This window comes from Homo sapiens, chromosome 18, assembly GCF_000001405.40.
Source record: "Homo sapiens chromosome 18, GRCh38.p14 Primary Assembly".
NCBI classification, from domain to species: Eukaryota; Metazoa; Chordata; class Mammalia; order Primates; family Hominidae; genus Homo; species Homo sapiens.
In genome coordinates, this window is record NC_000018.10 from 38,784,016 (window position 1) to 38,808,886 (window position 24,871).

Consider the following 24,871-nt stretch of genomic DNA (forward strand, 5'->3'; position numbering starts at 1 on the left):
AAAAGGGACCTTTGCTCCAGCTCCTAAAAAATTCTTCATCTCCATCTGAGACCTCATCAGCCTGGCCTTTGCTGTTCATAACACTACAAGAATTTTGGTTACAACGATTAAACAAGTCTCTAGGAAGTTCCAAACTTTCCCTCATCTTCCTTTCTTTTTCCGAGTCCTCCAAACTCTTCCAACATCTCTCTGCTATCCAGTTCTAAAGTTGCTTCTACATTTTTGGGTTATCCTTATAGCAATGCCCTACTCCTTGGTACCAATTTTCTGTATTAGGCTATTCTAGCATTCCTATAAAGAAATACCTGAGAGTGGGTAATTTATAAAGAAATTGGCTAACAGTTCTGCAGAGTTTACAGGGAACATCGTGCCAAAATCTGCATGGCTTCTGGAGAGGCCTCAAAAAACTTAATCATGGTGGAAGATAAAGTCGGAACAGACACATCCTAGTGAAAGTGGGAGCAAAAGAGAGAGACACTGGAGAAGGAGGTGCCATACACTTTTAAATGACCAGATCTCATGTTAAGTCAGAGTGAGAGCTCACTTATTACCAAGAGAATCACCCAAACGATTCATGAAGGATCAGCCCCCATGATCCAAACACCTCCCACAAGGCTCTAGCTCAATCAATGGGAATTACAATTTAACATGACATTTGGAAAAGGACAAATATTCAAGCTATGTCATTTATCATCACCTGTGAATTTGTCAGAAATTCAAATTTTCAGGTTTCATCCTGAAAATCCTCATCATTTCAGGTAGCATTCTGATATCCACTGAATTAGAAACTCTTGAGGAAGGAGCCAAGCAACTTGGTGTTTTAATAAGACCTCCAGATGATTCTAATGCATTATTAAATTTGAGAACTATTTGACACTCTAGATTCTAGCCAGTCTTGATCTTTGAAGGATATAGCATTATTTGGGAACCGTTTTAAAAGGTGAGCTCAGATTCATTTGTTTTTGAGCAGGACCCGAGATTCTGCATTTAAATAATTGGGTAATATTTTTTATAACCCTCTAGGTGTTTCCAATATGTACACAAGGTTTAGAACCATTGGTTCATATTGAGGAACAGACAATAAGCAAAGAATAGCACAATTAGTAAGTTAATCACAATTGTCTATAACATTTTTTATCAACATTTCAATCAGAGTTGAGTGCCTACTTAAATTATGTACTAGTGTTTAAGATTTATGTGGGGAATCATACCTTGTATTTGCCCAGAAGGTCTTACAACTTTGTTGATGAGTTTGGAATGTGGACACAGAATGATAACTGCTTAGGCACTAAAATGCAGGAGATTATCTGGCCTTGATGGAAAGTGGGATCAGCATAGCTCTCAGGCAGTATTTTGTCCTTTTATTTGTTGGTAAATTTTTAGTATTTGGTGACTACATTATAGATATAAAAATAAATCACCAGATTTCAAAATTGGAAAACATTTTATAGAATATTGAATTTGAAGTGCTTTTCTATTGTATTGTTGGGTGGGAATAGAGAGACTTATTGGTGCATCAGTGCTGCTAGAGAAGAAAAAGGGAAACAGAGGGAAAAAAAAGGATAGCGAGAAAAAGAGAAAAGAGAGTAAAGCTCTGGATTCTTTTCACTATTTTGCCCAGATGAACTTTCCTTTTCCCTAGGTTATGTAGGACATCATTGCTGCTATCTGCTTATCTCAACTTACAGGTGCATCTAAAATTAGTATGGATCAGTGCAATTCAATCTCAGCTACACTTTGTACAGCTTGAGCATCAATTTGAAAATCTAAAATCCAAAATTCTCTAGAATTAGAAATGAATTGAGTGTCAAAATGACACCGTAAATGGAAATTTCCCCACCTGACCTCATATGATGAGTATCAATCAAAATGCAGAAGCACAACACACAGCTTATTGTGTCCTCAAGGGAAGAAAAACCCCTTTCAGCCCCCTTTACCTGCAACATGTGTTTTCCATGCATGCCCATATTTCCCCACAAAGTATATCCAAAAAGGGGGATAAATGGCATGTGTGTGGGCTGTATGCATCAATGGCAAGTTCCCCACAATGCCCCACATGGGCAATGCCCCACAATACCCCACCTACATGAATTACTTATTGTGTTCATTTGCTTGTTCTCTGCCCTGTGGTGAGAAGATATCACTGAAAATGTCAAAAAGGCCTGAAGATACCTCTGTGGATAACGGTGATAAGAAAAAGAGAAAGCATTTATATTTATCTATAGTCTAGAAAGCCAAGCTGTTGGAGAAACCAGACAGCAGTGTAAGTGTGAAATATCTTACAGGAGAATATGGTGTCAGAATGACCACTATATGGGACTTAAATAAGCAGAAGAATAAACTATTGAAGTTCTATGCTGAAAGTGAAGAACAGAAGTTAATAAAAAATAGAAAAGGCCAGGCACGGTGGCTCATGCCTATAATCCCTGCACTTTGATTTCTGGAGTTTGAGACCAGCCTGACCAACATGGAGAAACCCCATCTCTACTAAAAATACAAAATTACTCAGGCATGGTGGCATATGCCTGTAATCCCAGCTACTCAGGAGGCTGAGACAAGAGAATTGCTTGAACCTGGGAGATGTAGGTTGCGGTGAGCCAAGATCATGCTATTGCACTCTAGCCTGGGCAAAAGAGCAAAACTCTGTCTCAGAAATAAAAAAAAAGACGAAAAGTAGAAAAACACTGCAAAAGGTGAAAATGAAGATCTTGAATGTGTATTAAAGAGTGGATCCACTGGCATTGCAGTGAACACATGCCACATAATTGTATGCTGATCATGAAACAAGCAAAGATCTATCATCTATCACGAACTGAAAGTTGAAGGGAACTGTGAATATTCAAAAGACTGATTGTAGATATTAAAGAAAAGACACAGCATTAAATTTATAAAGATTTGTGGAGACAAAGCATCTGCTGATTATGAAGCAGTGGAAAAGTTCATTGATAGGTTTGCCAAGGTTTGCTGATAAAAGTTTTACACAACAACAAAGTTATAATGCTGATGTATTCTGACTGTTTGGTATTATTGCTCCAGAAAGACATAGAGTACAGCTGATGAGACAGTTACCCCAGGAACTAAAGATGCTAACAAGTAACAGTGCTGGGATATGCTAATGCAGCAGGCATACATAAATGTCAACTTGCTGTGATAAGAATAAGTTTGCATCCACACTGTTTTCAAAGAGTAAATTTCTTATCACTCTATTATTTTGCTAACACAAGACATAGATCACCAGGGACATCCTTTCTGACTGGTTTCATGCATATTTTTTACCAGCGGCTTGTGCTCACTGCAGGGAAGCTAGAATGGACGAGTATTACAAGATTTTGTTATTCCTTGACAATTGTTCTGCTCATCCTCCAGCAGAAATTCTCATCAAAAATAATGTTTATGCCATGTACTTTTCCCCAAATGTAACTTCCTTAATTCATCCATGTGACTAGAGTATCTTTAGATAAATGAAGAGTAAATATAAAATCATTCTCTTGAACAGCATGTTAGCAGCAGTGAACAGAGGTATGGGTGTGGAAGATTTTCAAAAGGAATTTAGCATAAAAGATGCCCTATATGCTGTTGCTAATACTTAGAACACAGTGAGTAAGGACACAGTTGTGCATGTCTGGCACAACCTCTGGTGTGCAATTATGTTCAGTGATGATATTAAACAAGATAGTGACTTTGAAGGATTCCGTATGTCAAGTGAGAAAAAAGTGATATATGACCTCTTTATGTATGCAAAAGATATATCTTCAGAGGCAGTCAGTAAGCAGGAAGTGGATATTGAAGTTTTCTACATTGATTATGAGGCTCCAGTTGTTCATTCATTGACTGTTGATGAAATAACCACAATGGTTCTGAATCAAGGTGATCATGAAAATAGTGATGATAAAGATAAGATTGCTAACACTACAGAAAATGTACCTATAGACAACATGGTAAAAATGTATGATGGGCTTATTGAAGTGCTAGAAAGGATGCATTTGCAACAGAACAAGAAATTATGTCAGTTTATAAAATCAAAGAGAGATTTCCAAACAAAAAATATTGTTAATGAGGCAGATGGTTCTGGAGAAAACATTTTAAAAAGCTATCCAGCAGAATGCCTCCTCATCACTAGAAGACCCACTTCCTGGTCCCTGAATCTGATGTTCCTTCTCACCTGAAAACATAAAAGACCATGTACAGTAAATTTTTAATCAAAGTACACTATTGTAGGTAGAGATTGGAAAGCCTGGCATTGTTTGTTGTCGCTATTGTTTAAGAGCTGATACAGGTATTCTGGTGATGCTACGTGCCGCTTATTTACCCTGAACACATTATCTTTTCCCAGTACTAATGACATGTCATATATTTTACTGTTAAGTACTTATGTATAAATAGGGACAAGGAAATGCTGGCTTACTGGTAGCACATAAAATCAGAGTCAGAAATCATGGTGATGCCATACAATCACAGATTGTACACATGAGTGGCTAAGATAGTGACATCTTTGCTTTCTGATGGTTCATTGTACACAAACTTTGTTTCATACACAAAAGTATTTTAAAATATTGTATAAAATTGCATTCAGGCTATGTGTATAAGGTGTATTATAAACAAAAATGAATTTTGTGTTTGGACTTGTGCTGCATCCTTAAGATATTTCATTAAGCATATTCAAATATTTCAAAATCCAAAAAAAAAATTGAAACACTTTTGGTCCCAAGAAATTTCATTAAGAGATACTCAGTTTGTATTCAACTGTGACACATTTAAAACTCATCGAAACTAGTTTTCCAAGCCAAGATATTTGGCCTGGGTTGGGCCCAAACATGATTATTCTTTACACATTGCTCAGGTGATCCTCTTGACAGTTGTGAGTGGAGACTTCTAATCGAACAGTGGCACTGTCAGGAGTGTGATGTGGTTGAAGAAAGCGTCACAGAGTTGAGGACAACTGAACTGAGCTTCAAAGTCTAGAAAGATGCAGAAAGGATGGAAGGAAAGGAGAGTGTTTTTCTTCTGAACAAAGAAACAGATCAGCAACATGTAAAATTTATTCGAAGGGTGAAACCAGCGGGTCTGATCAAAGGAGAATGGTTCAGGAAAGAAATAGAGGCTTTGTAAGTTAGAAAGGAATTATATTTTTTTAAATAGCATTTTGAGATTGTAGCCATGATACTACTGTCTTCAAAAGCCTGTGGTATGAAGTGATTGTAGAGTAACTGTTCTGCTGTTGGAACCTCTGATTTCCATTTTCTTACAATATTTTCACAAAGCCAGGCTCCTACAGATGACGTTCCTCCAGTCCCATGGTGATTTAGGGACTAGGAATAAACACAAGACTTTAGTTTCCTGTCTGGTGGTTTTCATGGGCATGACATTCATTTTGAGATCTAAAAAGAAAAACAAAATAATAGGAGCTATAAATTAAAGTCTCCCAGAAAACCAGCTTGAAATGAGCATACCACTGATAAATATGTCAAGATACAAATATTATTTATTTGCTTCCAAATGAAACAAAGATTACAGAATTTCTTCAGTAATGTCTAAAATTAGAGTAAATTTAATTTGTCTTTGTTATGGGTTTTAGTAATCTAAAGGAGCTTACACAGAATAAAAATAAAGGGGTCATAGAAAATCTCACACTTTGGGCAGCCAAGAAATATTTTCTGTGTGTGTGTGTGTGTGTGTGTGTGTGTATGTATGTGTAAGCTATATATATATATATATATGTAAAGATTTGACATAAAATACCATCTTTATATGATTTAATGCTTTTATAAGCTATGTTCCTAACCTAGAGCCCCTGAATCCTTCAGATTCTTGCAAGGTCATAATGGACAGGGTGAGGATCCTACTCACAAGTTATTTTCAATATTTCAAGAAGTCTATCAAAAATCATATATTTACTCATGATGGAGCTGCAAAGAATAAGTACATTTGAGTCAATTTGCTTGAGGCTGAAATTATATCATTTTACTGTCCAAATAATGAATGTCCTTTGTGTTTTTAAACTAGATAGAAGCTCTGATTAGTTGCTGATGGCATCTCAAATATTTAGCATCATATGGAAATAAACTAAGGAGAGTGTCTTTGGTGGTTAAAAAGTTTGAATAATGGCTGTAAATATTCATATTTGTTTTTAAAATTTTATACAGAAAAGGCTGAATTATAAAAATTACATGTTGAGTCTATTTTTAAATTCAATCCTCTTTGGAAATTTGAAGATGGTTGTGACCATCCAATGACCCTGTCAAATTTGATTGTCTACATACTAAAATTTCTAAAAATGCGGGCTTCTGAGGAATTGTGTGCTTATCATAGAATAATGTTGCCATAGAAAATTAACCATGGAAGATACTAATGGGCACCATAGGGGCCAGAGGAAATATCTACCACAAAACTGTCTTCTGCAGTACTCTTTCATCCATCCACTCATCCATTATGAACATATTTCAGCCACCCCTAGATCATTGGCACTCTGCTCTGCCCCCTGCGGGTACAAAGATGGCAAGACACAATGGCTCTCTGAGTTTGCTGCCCCATTCATTTTGTCCACACAACACATCCTTCAAGTCTTATTGACATGAATTATTGGAGCTTAAGGGTAGTAAGATTGGTTAGAGTAAGACAAGGTCTGAATTCTAAAGGAAATGAAAGACTTGGAAAGCAATTGGAATAGGAACTCATACATGGAGTGAAAAAGGTGGAATTCATTGAAAAGAATGAACCAAGAAATTTCAGATCAACACACCACATCTGTATCTGGCTAGTAGTATTATTGTCACTACTTAAATTTTAGCATCCAACCAGTTTCTTCAAAACTAGTTCTTACGGGGGACAGAATTTATCTAAAATGTGTAGAGAAACTTAGCCAAAAATTATTGGTTAAATAAAAAATGTGTCATTGCAAAGTTTGCTGTGAAAAACAAAGCACTGAAAGTGTGGAGGAGGACAGATGTCTGCAGTGTTAGCTTTGTGCTGTGTGAGTAACTTTGCCCTGCATGGCCTGAGTTGGAGTTTAGTTTAACTGAATGCTGTCTAGAATTACATATACTTTATCCAGTGAAGATAAAAAAGTAGAAATTATTGACTCACTATCACTAGACAAAAACTGGTCACCTGGTAGATATTCAAACAATATAAATTATTACATAGCTGTGAATATATTTAGAAGAATTGTATCAGATTAATTATGTAAATTGTACAAATAGAATTTTCTATTTCTGGCTCCCAAATCTATCCAAAATGTCTTTAGTTTCTTAAACAGTAAAATAATAGTCTGTCTACTAGATTCTACCAAGTCAAGAAACTGGCCTCGTATATTTTAAAAATATTAGTAATAGCATATTAAAAATATTATTTGAAGCATACTTATATCTGAGGTTTCATTCCCTGGGCATTTTAATTAATGGAGTTTTAATTCATATAGATAACTTATGCTTAATATTCCTTGAAAAAAAGGAATTTTTGTAATTGTTGAGGAAAGGCAAAGTAGTTGATAGATATGGAAATTTATATACTAATTGTGTAAGCAGATCTTCAGTAGAGCATTCAATGCACCCCCTATTTGCCAAAGTATGTGGGGAAGTTATCAATTTTAATACTATCGGATATTTAAGAAAACTAGGAACTTTGTTTTAATCCACATCTGTGAGAATCCCCAAAAGGTTCTGTGAATGCTTGCAGTGGTGGACTGTATATTCAGAGATCATCCCAATGTCTCTCCAGCAACTCAGCTGCAGTCCCTTCCACTTTAGGGCTGCAGAATAAAAGAAAAAAAAATTCTCCTGGGATGGGACTTACTGGTACCAAAGCAGACAGACACATGGCCCAGGTTTGTTACTTTGCTGTCTGAGCTTTGACAGTTCCCTGTTATCTTTCACTATGACAATGTGAAGGGCACTTTTGCACTTTGAGCCTTGGGGAAAATTCAGTTGATACAACCTCCCTCTACTACTTTCTAATAGTGATCCACTTGCTAACTCCAACATCCAACAAGTTGAACCAGTGGCAAGAAGTGTAAAGAAGTAAGGCTTACCTAACATCAAATAAAAGAGAAATGTGAACAAACAAACAAATAAAAAACCTTTTTCCATGAAACGAGAAATGAGGAGAACAGACGCTATAAAGCCAGGTGAAGGTCACTCTGCAGTTCTTCCTTATGCTTTAAAAGCTGTGTTTAATTGTTATTCACGATGCACTGTGGGCAGAACAATTAGTTGTATCTATATTAGATCTAAGCTGTAATTATTTGTTACATTAATCATGACTAGAGTGAGAATTTAATTAGTCATGAACATTAAGTGAATTTTTCTGAAGCGGGGGAAGAATGTTTTCTGTTGTTTGATGCATCTGATTAAGAGAGGGCATCGCAGCTAGCTGGTACACTGGAAGAAGCTGAACCCTCAAGCTTTGCTATCTATTGACAAATCTGAATTCAGGTGATCTCACATCTCTGCATTTGTGCTTCCTATCCAAATGGTAACTCTTTGTGCAGGTTCCTCGGCATGTGTAAATAGGCACCATGTATATCAACTGTCACCAGTAATTCAGAAGGGCCATTGGATGTCAATATTACCCAATTCCTGTTTGTTCCTTTTATTTATTCTCTGCCCCTCTTTTCTTAATAACAAAAATGTTACCAGAGAAATTCCAGAAAATAGGGGAGAAATGTCCAGAGAGAAGTCTACATTGAGTTAGATTAGTATTTATCTCTGTGATGTGTTTTGAAAGGAACCGAACGTTTGGTATTCATCTAATCACACACAGCTAATATCCAGTGCCTCAAAGCTCTGCAATGTGTACTCATTTTAAATTAGAAATGTAAAGACTTCTGGGGGGTACTTGGGGGAGGAAACAAAGCATAAATGTGGTGGCTGTGATAGTGTGGGACACAATGTTTGATAATGCAACACATTTAATGAGTCACATACGTAGGGCTGTTATCGCCTCAAACAGCTCTACCCTGCTGATGCAAGTGAAAACTTTTAGACAAACTCAGCGTTCTTTTGCTCATTACACTGACCTGTCAAAAATGACAACTTGGCCCAGTCTGGTTATTCCATGCTGACAAGGTACCATTCAGGCTTTGCGGCAATAATGTCAGCTTTTAAAGGTGCAATGTACTTAAGAAAGCTCATTTCTATGATTTGGCCAAAAAGAGTCATTTTCCTTGTCAGTGGTGAGGAATGCCTTAGTTTCCTTTAAATTAGGAGTCGTTTTCATGGAGATTGTTCCTGGAAAACCTGCAGAAAGGAGAGAAGCTATTTTTTTGAAAGATTTAAAATAGTTTAGCCTACTGAGCAATGGTGTGATTACCCAGTGTGTTGAAGACAGCTAGGGATGCTCAACTCTGCCCAAATCATATTTCAAAACAACCAATAGTGCAACAAATAAAACTTCAATTTGATCATGAACAGTATGCACCATTGCCTGCAAGCAGAGAGCAGTGAGTTGGAAAGCTCTTTCTATGGAGTTTGGGGCCACAATATACAGAATCTGGGGTAAGAAAAAGGGAGCAACATGACAGATGCTATATTCCTGGTCTACAGGCAAATTTCTTAGCTTTGTCCAGAAACAAGCAACAAAAAGAATGTTAGTGTTGGGTTTTACAATAGCCCCAACACAAATGTTAGGAGAACTGTTAATGAGCTGATAAATTGGGACAAAAGACAGGTAAATAGAAATAAACTGATACTTCCTTCTATAATTTTTCCACTAATATATTGTGGTTCAGTCCACTCATATGCCAAGTTCAAATCTGAAATGTCTTCACTCAATTATTTCAACATACTACTTCCACAATTCAATAGATATGTAGATTACATAGATAGATAGATAGAGACATAGACATAGACATAGACAGATAGAGCTGGTTTTATATCAACCATGAAGATACCTAAGATTTTCACCAACACCTGTAGATCCCAATCCAACTGTATTAGCCCTGTGGTTTTTTGCTCCCTGTTTCAAATTCTTTGGTTCTAGGACTAATGACAATCTTTTATCAACTCCTGTGGAAGGCTCCAATAGAAGACTATGGGAGCACAGTTCTTTTTTAAAAAAAAATACACTCTCCATTTTAATATGAGAATCCTTTGGGTGTGCTTTAGACTGTATTTACAATATACTCAGACTCTAGGGTTCTGAGCACTGCCAGCCAACTCTTTCTATGTGATGAAAAGAGGAAAGACCCAAAACAGGATTTGTTTGCCTATGCTTTCTTTCCTTTTTCTTATGTTAAAAAACTAAAATCTACCCAGAATATTCATCACCAAAATACATGAGTCAAAATCTCTACTTGTACACTTCTTAAGATTAAATTTTCTAGATAACTAAAGGTAGATTTTATCTGAAGAATAAGTTGTTATAATTGATTACACCTTTTAAAATTTGGACCTAGCAATCAATTAATTAATACAATTTTATTAAATAGTAGTCTTGGGCTGTAATAAAGAGGGCATTATCCTCAAGTACCTTATAATCAAGTAGGGAAGGCAACACTGAAACACAGGAAAGAGAATAATACAGTATTTAATAAATATGTGTGTGACTAAACATGCTATAGACATCTGAGAGTTAGAGGAGGTTACAAAATCTGGATGTAGATAGTGGTGTTAGTGACTTCCCTGGAAAGACAAGTAGATTTGTATACATGTACTCAGAAAGGCATTGCAAGCAAGAGCTAATGCCAGCTAAAACTCATGCAAAGTATGTTTGAGGGGAGAGTCAACTTTGGTTGAAAGAGAATACTCGCGTTGTGAAATGAAAGATTATATCGAGAGGAAAACGTGTAACCACATTGTAAGAGTCATTGAATGACAGAGAAAGGAGTTTAGTAGTACTATTTCACCGTAGTGTTTACCATAGTGTTTACTTTTGGTTCACCTTCCCTGCATTGCTGAGAATATTGAGTTCATGCACAATTATTTTTAACCTATTGCCAATGCAAAACTATAATTCTTGTGGCTCAATACATTGTTTCAATTTTCATTATGTGTATTTCTTCTGATCAGTTTAATTCCACTCATTTCAGTCTAATATTTGAATTTTAATATTATGTATTAAATTAATATTAAATTTAATATTTGAATACCCACTTCATGCTTAGTATAGCAGTAGTCTGCAATAGTGATGATAAAGTGAATGATACGAATGATACGATATTTCTGTTTACTGGGAGGCTATAATCTAGGTGCCTTGGAAAATTCTGTCAATATTAGTGTTAGTTTGGAGAACTGTCTTCAGAAATATAAGACAACAGTGATAGGAAACCAATTTGTGACCTCCAGAAGTCATTCCATCTGGTTTGTGGAGGATTATGAGATTAACACTACTTGTTAGTGCTATCATTAATAATTATGCCTCTGTATATGTGTGCAGAAATTTAGGGATGATGAGACATTCTCAGGCATTTCATTTCTTTTGCAGCTTTTTGTGTGGCCTTGTAGATAGAGGGTCACTGGAAATTTCTAGTCCTGTTCATCCTGTCTTTTCCTTCCTCATGAGACACCTGTATGTGTCATGTAGGTCTTGCAGATGTGAAAAATAATGTTTTAAGAGTTCACAAGAGAGAGTTTAGAGTTCCAGATGACAGCATGTATCTTTTTTAAATCATTCATTCAACTTAGCACACTACTACATCCTTTTTCTCATTTGATTCTCAGAAGTTTTTTTTTTTGTTATAAAGGATATTTACCTATCATTTATATTTTCAGTGCTTATTTCATTGAAGGAAACCAGTAAAACTTACACAGTCATTGCATATCAATTTTTTATGGCACAATACTCTCAAAGTTATTGCTTCTCCTCACGTATCTCACCTATGCTTTTGCAATAATAGTTCACCATTCTGGCTCCTTCCAGATTCTTACTAACGTATGTGCATCAGTGGTTCACAGATAGTCTGCCCCAAAGATAGTTCGTCTTCCTCTTTTCCTATAATGAGGACTTGACCACTTTCTCTTTTTAAAATAATTTTTGCTACTTGAATTTAGGTGTAATTTTTAAACTAAGGTACCTTTGGAAACCAAAGACTTATCTTCTAATGGATGGCTACAGTCTTTCCAGCATTTGGCTGGATCCAACTGTGATTATACGTTATATGTGGTATCTCTGCTTTGTTCAATTTCTTCTATTTCCCTCAACCCTTTAAAAACCTTTAAGTCTTCCACTATTTCTTATGGGAGACAGGTATACCCTATCAAGGGTAAGGAGAATCTTAGTTATTATTCTTTTTCATATTCAGGGTAAAATTGCAGATATTAAATATTAAATAAATCTAAATATTATGCTTTATCCTTTTTCTCCTATAGGTGATCCCTAAGATGTTTTCTAAATGTATCCTAATATTTCATAGGACCATATGTATTAAATTTCCCCTTTATAATCTGACCTAAAACCTAATGGAAGCATAATACATGTTAAAAAAAAAGAAAACATACTCCATGCCTACCACACACAATGATATTACATAATATCCTAATATAATTTTCATTTTATCCTTTATTCTTTGTTTCATTTCTCAACTTTTCTTTACAACTTTACTTTAAAAATATTTTCTAGAAGTTCTCATTTATTATATATGTCATATTTTCTCTTAAGTCCTTTTTCTCTGAGACTACCATATTCCTTCTTCGCTTTCCTTATTTTCTTCTTTCTTCTTATTCCTCTTCTCTATTCATCATTCCTTCTTTTCTATCCATTTTGCTATTACAGTATTTGAGATTTTTTCCCCTCTCCTCTTTATTTTCTTCTTTACTTTATCATTATTATATGGTAGCCTTTTTCCTCTATCCCAGTGATTCTCATCTGGGAGTAATTTTGCTCCTCAAATGACACTTGAAAATATCTGGAGACATTTTTCTTTGCCACAGCCAGGAAGTGGTGCTATCCAATGTGTAAAGAACAGGAATGCTACTATGCACACCATAATACACAGAATGTTCCCTATAACAAAGAATTATCTGTTCCAAAATCTCAGTGCTGCTGAGGTTGAGGAACAGCTTTACTCCTATCTCTGTTCTAATGCACTGTGCATAAACCACAGCTCATTCTAGCTTATGCCATATGGCTCCTTTCGAAACATTTTCACTGTACTTTTATCAAATGTATTTTTTTGATGAGAAGGTCTACAGATATACAATAAAAGGTCCCATGAAATTTTCAGGCTGGCATACACACACAGATTTGGAACATTTCACACCAGCTCCTCTGACACACTTTATATTTATGAAATATTAATGAAAAATTATCTATCAAATAAAAGCTGGCTGCTTGTAAGTAAATGCCTATCCCATTTTCCTCTTGTTATATGTCACCTGACTTATATTGGGACCAATAATTAGAAATATCCCACCTCTTTTTGATCCAACATTTAGCGTTTTCAGAGTTTCTAGAATTTTTATTAGTATTTGTTGTCTCCAATCTCTAATCTTTATTGCCATAAAATATAATTGTTAATCTATTTTATTTTAATGACCTGGGAATTTCACTTGTTTCCACATACAATGGCAAAAAAAATTCAAAATCATTCTTTATGTTCCTTCAGAGATTTTTACAATGCCATAAAATTAGCAGCACTTTTGCTTCATCAACAACATATTTGATTTTTGATGATTTTTTAAATTTCTCAAATAGATTTTCTAGTATGAATCTATAATTTTATATTTTACTGCATAGATTTTTTTCTTCCTACCATAAATAAATAATTTTATCAATATTTTAACCTAATAAGTTCTTATCTCAAATCCAACATTGCTCTGTTGCACTATGATTGGGTTCTCTAAGCTCTTCATAGATAATGACTTCACCTTTTTTTATCTTTTCTTTTTTTTAACCTTCACCCTATCTACACAAATTTCCCTCATTCTTCCTTATTTTTCCCCTCACCTTTGTTTGATCTATACTCTCTGTATATTTCTGTAGCTTAAAATATCTACTTCACTCAGTACAACCTCTGTTTTTACTCATCACATTTGCAGGTTTCTTTCAAATTCAACACAAACTTATTTAAGAATATTATCAAATTCTTAAAAATCAATAACACTTATGATAAAAGACTTTTGCTTTATATTTCAAAATATTGTAGACATTGATGCTTAACAATTTAAAAATCATTGACATCTTCTTTACTTCTTAATGAAAGAGTCCGTCTTCCAAAATGATGCTGAAAATGCCAAATTATTGCTGTCCCGACCTCCCCAATAACTAAGAATGATTGATAAGCCATGTCTAGGCAAAGAGAAGCATAAGCGAGTCCTCTGAGAAGTTTCTGGGAGAGACCATTTTCTCTAACAACAAGAGAAGGTGGGGAGGAATATCCCCTGATTTATATTTGGAAAATAATCAGACACTACCACTCTTCTGGTTTTTGGCCATTATCTTTTGAAGAAATGAACTTTAGAACTACTGGTTCCTTGACCACAGGGAGATTTTGCTAAGCTCCAGACTAGCAGAATAAGTTGTTATGAAGAACTAAGTCCTTGGTGGCATTATTACACCTCTGAACCAATTATTTATTATGGTACTTATGATGCTAATAAGAATGGCTGATATTTTTGGAGTATTTACTAAGTCAGAAGGACTTTATGTTCTTTACACAGGTAATCTAATTGTGAACATAATCCTAAGTGCTGTTTTTTGCAACTATTTTCCACATTTTATATCTGAGGTAAGTAAAGAAGAAAAGGTTAAAAAGCTTGCCCATGATCACACAGCTAGTCAGGTAGAGCTTGAGTCTTGACAGACTGGCTTCATTATGTACATTTTATCATAAAGTGACACCTGTTCCAGACTTTGTGGGACATAAAATGATGAATGGTGTCTGAGCTGTATGAGACACCGTCACCTAATATTCTAAGTAAAAGCAACTGAGCACACTTGTTCTTATGTCTGGCGCAGGTATCAATTGTCCTGATCCACTGACATTTAATTATTTTTTAAATCATATTCCCCAATGTTAATTGTGTAAACTGTATAAATGAGACATCTTACATTCTCTATTCCTACCTCTTCCCATTGTGTGGGAGACTTACAATTTACCCATTCCTCTACTCTTTTCTTTCTGTTACCTAGTTCCATATACTTTAGTCCAGTTGCTTTCGTTTTGTTTATACCTGCTGTTGAGAGGAGTTTACTAGCTTGCCTTAGGTAGACAGAAAGAAAAATGTCCACAGAGAGCCCCCCGACCCACAGGTCAGTGCCTCATCCCCACATCTGAGTGAATAAACTTACACAGGGGTTGTGCCTGAAACACACTGGTAGCTAAACAGGTAGAAGAACCTCTAGCCCACTCAGATAAGGAAACTTACAGAAACCTCCAGCCCACTCAGTTAAAGAAACAAGGCCCAACATAGAAATGCCTTTATCCTTTGTGTAACCAGAGGGGTTCCAGGAGATAGCGTCTTCTCGCTTTGTAGGCACATACATAATGGGCTGTGGTGGCCCCCTTCCTTTTCTTTTTTGGGCATACTTTAAACTGTGAGCCGAGCCTCTATGAATCATCACTTTAGCCTCTGATTGGTCCTGGGCCAAGGTCCTGGGCAAAGCTTTCACTTCAGCCCCTGATTGGTCCTCGACCAAGGTCCCAGGTCAAGCTGAGTAGTGTTTTATTCAAGACAACCTGAAGACCAGTCAGCACATTCCTCCTCTTCCAGTCTATAAAAGACCCCTGACCCAACCTCATAGTGGGCAGCCCTCTTGGGCCCCCTCTACACTGCAGAGAACTTTCTTCTTTCTCTTATTAAACTTTCACTCCAACCTCACCCTGTGTCCATGCTCCTTAATTTTCTTAGTCCTGAGACAAAGAACTCCATGTACTACCTCAGACAACAAGACTAAAACATTGTGGTGCATTGGCAAGACTGCAGCACTATCTACTGACTTATATAAATGGGTTTTCTTAGTTCCTTTTCCTTAGCCTTCAGAGCAACTGCCTCTTTGGAAAGAGATGAGAGTGCTCTCTCCATTGCCAGATCTCTTCAGGTTTTTACATTTGTCTCTCACTTTTTTCCCTCTTTCATTTCACAACCTGCACTTCATCCTCATTATCCTCCTTCCTATATTTTAATACCCCCAGAAGCTGTTTTTAGTGGTACATTATTAGTACACTGTGGGGTTCTTAAATGTAAGGATTATCTTATTTGCATACTTATTTGTTATTATTTGGAAAGGGGTTTTATCCCTAGAGATTATCACAGAACCCAAAATGAGACAGGATCTCAAAGATGCCTATTAAAGGAAGGGACACTTGTGTGAATATGTTAACAACACTCTGAGCATCTTTTTCTGTATTAATTTGAGCAGATGCTACAGCTCCATGGACATTTTTTTCCCATCAAAGTTCTGGAGTCTGTCTTTTGTTCTTGGTCCCCTTTTTATTATTTTATTTTCTTGTGTAGTCTGGATAGATGTGTCCTTTTTGTCCCAAGAAGCTATCCAGAGTTCCTTATACAAATGGTATTTATTCTCCAGATCTAAAACCTTTACTTTATTGTGCCTTTTACTTAAATAATTTCCTGAGTTTCATCAGTAGCTGATCTTTAGATGTCCTCTGCACTGCTATAACTGATTTTAGTTCTTAAACAAAAATTGCCCATAGGCACTGTTTCATCCTCATATTAGTGAACAGGGTCTTTAGCCTTGGCCTGTTCAGTAGAATCATCACAAAGTTCTCTGAATAGTATTGGTCCTTTATATTTTCGACACCTTCTCTATAATAAATTCAATTTATCATCTCATCCAATGCTCATATCAAATTTCTTGCATCCTAGATTTTGAATTACAGCAAATATGTCCCTTGATATACCCAATAGAATTAATAATCAGGGTTCTCACAGTGTGATCTCTCCTTAGGCCTCTGCTCTTATCTCTGGTGTCACTGTTTCCCACAAATCTTCCCATGAAATGATACCTCCCACTCCTCAATATGTACATACTGTCTTCTTTTCCTCTTCGTCTGCAGGAATACTCATTCAGCTCTTTTCTTGCTTTTCTATACTGTCATTTTTTAATTCTTCCTACATCCCTTCCACTCTTCTCTCTTATCCTAATTACTTAGCATTTCCATGAATATCTCCTACTATTACAAATATTTTTACTATGTAACAATGATAATTATAAATGACAGTTAAGGCTATTTATTAAACAATGTTGGTAAGCCAGGTACTTTATTTGGTGTGCATGTATTTGCGTATTTGTGTGTGTGCATATTTTAGTACTCATAATAGCTAAATGCATTTTTAAAATTAGAAAATGGAGACTTCGTTTTTAAGTGAGTGGCTCCAGATCACATGTGATAAGTGGTATTAGTGACAGACAATTGCATTTTCTTAACATCTTTAATGAATCAAGTGCTATGTGTGTGAATGAATATGTGTATCTCATTTAATTCTCCTATGCATTACATATAATATGTAATTATAGTATAGATTATATTATGTATATATTATATATAACATGTGATGTATAATATATCTTTTATATATTCTATATGCACACACACACACAGGAACCCCTTCTGCACATAAGGTATCTCTACTTGCCAGCATTTTACTCCTACTGCTGTTGACCTTATAGTTTTATTGGGCACTTTCATTTTTGGTGTTAGTCTTTTCATTTCCTTTTTTTAAATTTTACTTTAAGTTCCTTTTTTTCTTTCTCCATTATTTCTTCTTAGCATATGCTTACACAGCCTTCTCCTATGTAAGTCCTATTCTCTTACATCCTTTTCAGCTTTACCTTTGTACTCCTCCTAGTGCCCTGGCATCCTCTCAGCATGCATCACTGGCTTCCATGCACGAAGTTCTCTAAATAACAACCTTGCATCTCACTGGCAGGAGAAACAAAGACCCCCACTGTGACTGACGAGGACTCAAAGGCTTAGTGAGTGTTAATGACTTGCTTAAGGTCACTCTGTGATTTAACAGCATAAGCTGCTCTAGAAGCAAGTCTTATAATCCTGTCCTAAGTCTGACACCTTGGTCTTTTCTACTGCACCCTACTGCCCATGGCTGTAAGTATCTAATTTCATCTCAGCAACTGGTTCTCCTATGTAATTCTGAGAACTTCTTCAACTATTTACCAAACCTGCTTAAATCTGCCCTTCCTAAAATAACCTGCAGTAAACTTTTTGCTAAATCATAGAATCATTATTTAGCTCTTACTTCACTTGGCATTTGCTCCTCCTTCACTGTCTTCCCTTAGTTCTCCTCCACCCCTGTGGCTCTTCCTCTCACATCTGTACTGGTCTACCTGACTCTCAAAAGGCATTTTGTTCCATGAAAGAGAATAAAATGAGAGGTGTCAAAACTTTCTTTGGTTTTAACCTGTTGCTTATACAATTGCAGTAAATGATTAAAGGATTGACCATTACCTCCATTTTGGGTTTGTTCCTGAAACCCAAAAAGTGAAGAAATCCCACTGAGCTTCCTGGGTGTGCTTTGAACTAACAGGGTCCAAGTGGCACTACAATTACCTATAGTCTTAGAAGAAATTCCCAAATGTGTCTTGCCTGCTTCTCATTTGCTGTAGGTGGGGCAGTAGTCATCAAATGGTATTTCGTGAGCATACTTCATCACAAACTGCAACAAAACCCCAAATGGCGACTCACTGGAGGGGCCACAGTACAGTAACATAATTTGATATGTTTAATAATCAGTCTGGGAAACAAGGCTGATAGAAGCAAAATGGCAGAACGGAAAATAGGCCTATCAGTAAGCGTGAACATTTCTGTGAGGTTTATGTCTTCATTAAAAGAAGACTTGAGTATCTGGGGTTGTAAACTTATTAGAGATCTATGTGGAGTCTGACCTCTATATAGGTATGAGCTATCAATCTTTTAGCTCCTCATAATTTCTGAAAGGGATTTAGCCTTCAGTGTAAATCATTTGAAATTGTTGATTATTGACATTTATGAGTGCATACTGATGAGATAGGCAAAATCTGGTTACGGATTACATATTTCTAAGTAAAATTTTGAATCTATAATTATATCTGGAATAACATCCAATGTGTTAATAGGTGGGGTGAGGCCTTTTACCTGAACATTTGGTACAACATGGTTTCAATACCTTTTGTGCCATAACTTTTTTCTACTAGATTTAGAAATGCCTGGATGCAACAAGGACAAGGGCAGAGCCTGGAACATATGCCCTGGGATCCCAAAGTAAGACCAGTAGTGACTGGATGAGCATCCATAGACCCCATTCATAGTAAGTGCTCTGAAATCTTCCACTAAACTTATTTCTTCACATGGGCTTGTCAGCAGCGGTATCTCCTAAGTGGTTTGAATGTGCAATAACTTTTTCTAAAGGCATTGTCTTAATAATCAAGATTTATACAATTTTTTAAAGTATGGTGAAGCCTTAAGATTTTTATTTCTATCCCTTCATATTAGAGATAGAAGATTAGAAATTTTAAGGAAGATACATTGCTTATGAAAAATCACACCAATTGTTGGTAACAGTTTGCTCAACAGAGTTGAACCTCAGCTTTTCCTCTTCTCAGGAGGTAAAACTTACCCTCATCTCTTGAATGGTTGGATAAATTCATTTTTTTTCTTCTTGAAGAGAAATTACTTTTGATTTTTTTCAAAGTCTTCTGAATTAGTGTTTGCCAGAGAGTGGGGAAAAGGTGAAAATATAAACAGAGTCACAAAGATATGATCACCACAGCCATCTGGGTTCTCTGTGTATTCGAAATTCCTGGTTGTGATATGGAAGGGTAGTGGTGATATTCAGCTTGGATATAGAACAAGATGGTTTCCAAGTTTATAATAATAAGGCAGCTAGTAGAAAACAGTGAAACCTCTTGAAATCTATCTATCATCTATCCATCCTCTCCCTATCTTTTCATCCATGTACTCATCTATGTATCTATGTATCTATTTCATTAATGCACTTATGAGCTGAAAAGTAAAGGAAGGATTCTTAGGAATTATGAATTCAAGAATCCAAAGAACCTCAAACACAATATATTACAAGAAATCCCAAGACACCCCCTCCTACATATTGTCTAATAAAACTAGAGAACACAAAGACAAAGAGAAGATCTAAGGGTGAGGGGAAAGGTGAGAATGAATCTTCAAAAGATAAGAAAAAATATCAGGTGACTTCTTATTAGCACAAATAGAATCCAGAAAACAGGAGAATAAGGTGCTGAGAGAACATAACTCTTTCACATCTGATAAGTACCAGGATTTGAACAGAGGAAGTCTAAGTTCAAAGCCCACACTTTCAACCACGGTGCAATTCTGCCTTTCTTTCAGCCAGAGTCAACCAAATATAAAACTTACTGATGAGAGAAAGGACAATAACCATGATCATTACTGGCCCTAAGAAGTCAACGCTGCATTTATCCTCTTTCCTCTCAGTTTGGCACTTCTCCCACCTTCCCTATTCATGTCTGTGCCATTTTTCTTCTCTATTTCCCTTAACTTTGGCCTCTGAGTAATCTTTTATTTCTTCCTTTCTTTACCATCTTCTTTATTTGTTCCAATGGCCCATTATAAATTCTTTCTACCTAATGTAAACCAGAGGGGACTTCTGCTTTTCGAGTCAATAATTATGGGCCAGAGTCACTTTTATCATTTCACCTCTAGAAAAATAAATTCTAAGTAGCATATTTTACATTTCTTAAGGTCTCCATTACATGTTCTTGTTCTAGAAATTTAATCTCCTTTATTTTATAAAAAATAAAATAATAAATATTTAAACTGTCTTTTTGAGGCTACCAAGTGTTTTTAAGTATATTACCTAACCTGATTCTTCTCATAATGACCCTCTGGACTCAATGAACAAAATGTTTCACCCATTTTATAGGTGAAAATACTGTGACTTAGTGTAATTAAATGATTATCCTGATTCATATAATCATTTAATTAAAGCCAGAAACCTAAGGCACTTGAGTAAAAATTCCAGAAACATTTTAATCTACTATTGAAAATTCTCCTATTATATATGATTTATGTTCAGGAAGTTTGTTTTCCTACAGCTAGTCACTGTGTGAAGCTGGAGAATGATCCCAGGAATTCACTACAAGATTCAGTGGCTTCTCTAGAAATTCAGAAATGGAACTACTAAAGGTATTACTGCTATATGTCTCCCCCTCCTGAGTTACAAATGCAACAAGCTGGTAATTATGATGATACTTTATTCCAATAAGAACTGAAATAGGACAATGAAATCATGATGCTTAGCACTTCTATAGCACCATTCATCTTCTGAGCTCTTTACAAACAGTAATAATTAAAGGAGGGCAACAGAGAGTTCAGCTGATAGGGTGAATCACATGTAATAAACCAACTCCTTAGGAATTAAGATCCGGGAGGACAGCACCCACTTGAGATACAAACTGAAATTTATATGAATGTGTATAGGGGCAGGAGGTAGCAGGTACTAAGGGGTGAGAGGATGTTTTTAAAAAAACCCAAACTTTCCCTCCTTCAGAGTTGTCAATACAATCAGCCTTTGTAAGCAGGCTGCTGCCATTTGAATTACAAGGGATTTTAAATGGGGCAGAAAATGTAAGCTAGTCAAGTGAAGGGGAAGATTAGATAAGAAAATTAAACTATATGTTAAATTCCACTGTAAGTAGATAGTCCTTAAGGGAACAAAAATAATGATTTTATTATCAAAGAAGAAAAGTGTGCAGCTTATCTGCCTTTGTTACCTGGAGTTTCTTCCGGGAATCTGTTGTTCAACAAAATGTGTCCTGGTGACAGGTTAGGGCTACTGATTACTCTCTTCCTACATAGAGGTATGGAGGAAAGGGGATAAAGAGAGGGAAAACAAAAACAAAAATATCAGTCACAATATCATAAGATCCACCCTTCCCTCTGATTCAGACTCTGTTCCAAGAAACAACCACAAATTCAAGTTACTGTCCCTGTGTCTTCAGGATCACTGGGTGATATTCATTTCCTAACATGTTCTGATCCATGCTGTTTGGCATTTCTAAGCAAGTATGCTTTATTCTCTTCTCAGCTGCTTGACTCTGATCTTGTGTGTTTGTCTCCTGAGATTACCGAGGCTTTAGAAAGGTATTCAAGCATAATTGTAGGGGCAGAGGGAAAGTTTCCCACTTTATCCTTTGAAGGTTTGCTGAAAAGAAACCGACAAAAGGTAGACTAATAGAAGAAAAAGACATAGAAATTTATTATGACTTGCATAGCATGGGGAATTGCAGAATAATTGCTCAGTAACTTCATGGGGCACAGATGCGTATATAATCTGGGGATGGGTAGATGAGGGTGCACATAGAAGTAAATAATTTTTTAGGGGGAATGAATAATCCCAATGTTTAGACAATGATTAGTACATAATTCTCTTTGGGAATTGAATAATTATCCTGGGACATAAGAACAAACAATAGTTTGAGACAAAGTCCATCTGGACTCTAGATGTGATATTTAATTTTTAGTCTATTCCTCTGTGATGTGGGTTTTAATCTTCTCTGGTTAATGAAATTTCCAGGAAGAGATGAAAGGCAATCGTGTTTCTTTTGGGTGGTCCAGTTTCTAAGTAGATAAAGGAACTTCGGTGAACAGCCTCATTCTGTGTGACGGGAGAGAAAAAGTTTTGAAAGACACAAGTGAAGGAAGATCAGAGAGAACTAGAGGCTGCCCCTTTAGTTCAGTATGTCAAAGTGCTGTATTTTGGGTATCATTTTCCAAGCCCCAACTCAATCAAATTCCTCATTTCTGCTCTCTCAATTTGCTAGCTATCAGTATAAATTCTAGTAGTTAGAAAGAGCGCCCTTGCCTCCATGTCAAACTGTTACAGAAAATTGGAATTTTGATCCTGGAGACCTTTGTTTTTCTACCCAAAAATAAGCAACTTTGCCTCACACCCTCATTCAAATGCCAGCTCTGCATCTGACTAACTGTGTAATAGTAGGCAAATGACCTAATTTCCTGATCATGAATTTCTGCACCCATACACTAGAAACAGGGATCCATTTATTCATGGTATTTATTTAAGTCCTTACATTAGTTGTAAGAATATAAAGATAGGAGGCACCATTTCTCCCTTCTAGGGGCTCAAAACCTGGTAGAAGTGACAAATAATTAATTACTCATCAAAATAGGGTATGGTAACCTTGTACTGGGTAAAACAAATGCCCAGAAAAGAAATCCCTGACCTGAAATGGTGGGAATGATCAGTGATATGCTGGTAAATGTTTACCAAGCAACTATCTGTGTAAAAAAAAGGTATGTATTTATATACAAGCATGCATTTACTATAAATCTTAGTAATATAAAAGATGTGTGACAAAAATTTAACAAAATAATAAAATATACAATATTCTTTAACATAAATTTCTTATAGCCCATTGATGCTCAGACTCCTGCTGTTGATTGTTGCTGACTCTTGGATCCTTATCAAACCTATCACTGCAGTTGATAAACTAGTGTAGTGAAGATATGAAAGTTGTTTGGTATATTCATTTATGATAATGAGTAGAATGAAAGTGGAACAAGAAAGATATACATCTGAAATTTACTCATTCATCAATGATGTGAGAAAATTGAATAACAGAATAATACTGGAAGAATACGTTTTTCGGTTTTGCGTGTTACTGAGAGACATGACACACTTTTAAGTTTATTCTGCATTATTAATATCTTCTCCATCAGTTTCTCACTCTACACAATCAATAAAATAAAACAATCAAACTCTGAGTTTTAGGATTTCCAATATCTTTCACCTTGGCTAGTTTCGTTCTTTCACCATGATATCTCTGAATAATGAGCTGGGAAGAGACGCACATTAGCCCACACACAGGTGAAGTACTTACAACGTGCACACACAGTAGATGTCAATCTCAAGAGCACAGATAACAGTAAAACATGTTAAAATAGGAAGTAATTAGTTTTTAGTATTTTAATAATGGTTTACAATAGAGTTAACTTAATTTTAAGTTAATCATGGCTGTGCTTAATAATAACAACAATAGGGTCACAAAATCTCTAAAAATTTTTCATGGGTTCTCATGAGTTAGTATGGGTTGACATCACACCACTGGGAATGAGGAAGGCCTTCAACGGCATGGAGGTAAACACTGAGCAGCCCGTATAAAGCAGAAGGGGAAGATTGTTCCTCCAACTGAAGAGAGAATATGCAAAGAATGAGAACTGAAAGAGAGTATGGAAACTACAGGCAGCTGCAAACAAGGTAGGGCTTGCTGTGGTAACTCCCAGCACCAAGAAGCTTCGGTGCTATTAGATATAGGAAAGCCACTCTCCCACACAAGCACTTTGCATTAAAGGATAATGATGAAAAGCTATACCTGTAATCTACAATGGATATTATCACAAATAATACTATGATATAGGATTTAAACTTACATTGATTTTTGAGCAAAAAGAGAACAAAACAATGTCAACTACAAGACTCATGCTAACATAATCTGAAATAGAGATTCTCTTTGTATGGCTGGAGTGGGGAATGATTTAAGGTGTGCTGATTTTTCTGCTTTTCAGAGAGAGAGAGAGAGTGAATCACACATTATATAGTTACATAGTACACTAACTGGTACCTAAATCTGACAGTGAGGATCAACAGTGATCCTAAGAGAAGAACTCAAACTGGAATTTCAGGAAAAAAAATCTTCTAGAGATAAATGATGATTCCAAGAGCAGGAGAGACCATAGAGTGGGAAAAGGAAAGGAAGAAATAATGATTCAAGCCAGCTCTTTGGCCCCTCGTCATCTCTCATTCAGTGTTGGAAATTTTTGGTAATTGAAATTTACCAAATTTAAATGTGTGTGTGGCGGCTGGTGTGTGTGTGTGTGTGTGTGTGTGTGTGTGTGTGTGTGTTGCTAGCTTTTGGAAATAGCAGATTTGGTAATTCATATTTCCAAAAGCTGTAAGTACAAACACAC

At 36.0% G+C, this 24,871-nt stretch overlaps 1 long non-coding RNA gene across 1 annotated transcript; it reads left to right on the forward strand.

The window, feature by feature from the left end:
* The first annotated feature begins 894 nt into the window (after positions 1 to 894).
* On the forward strand, positions 895 to 23,580 carry LOC105372077 (uncharacterized). Its single transcript, XR_935397.2, has 4 exons — positions 895 to 940; positions 19,087 to 19,199; positions 20,980 to 21,070; positions 23,316 to 23,580. It is a non-coding gene; the product is annotated as an uncharacterized LOC105372077 (long non-coding RNA).
* Positions 23,581 to 24,871: the final 1,291 nt, after the last annotated feature.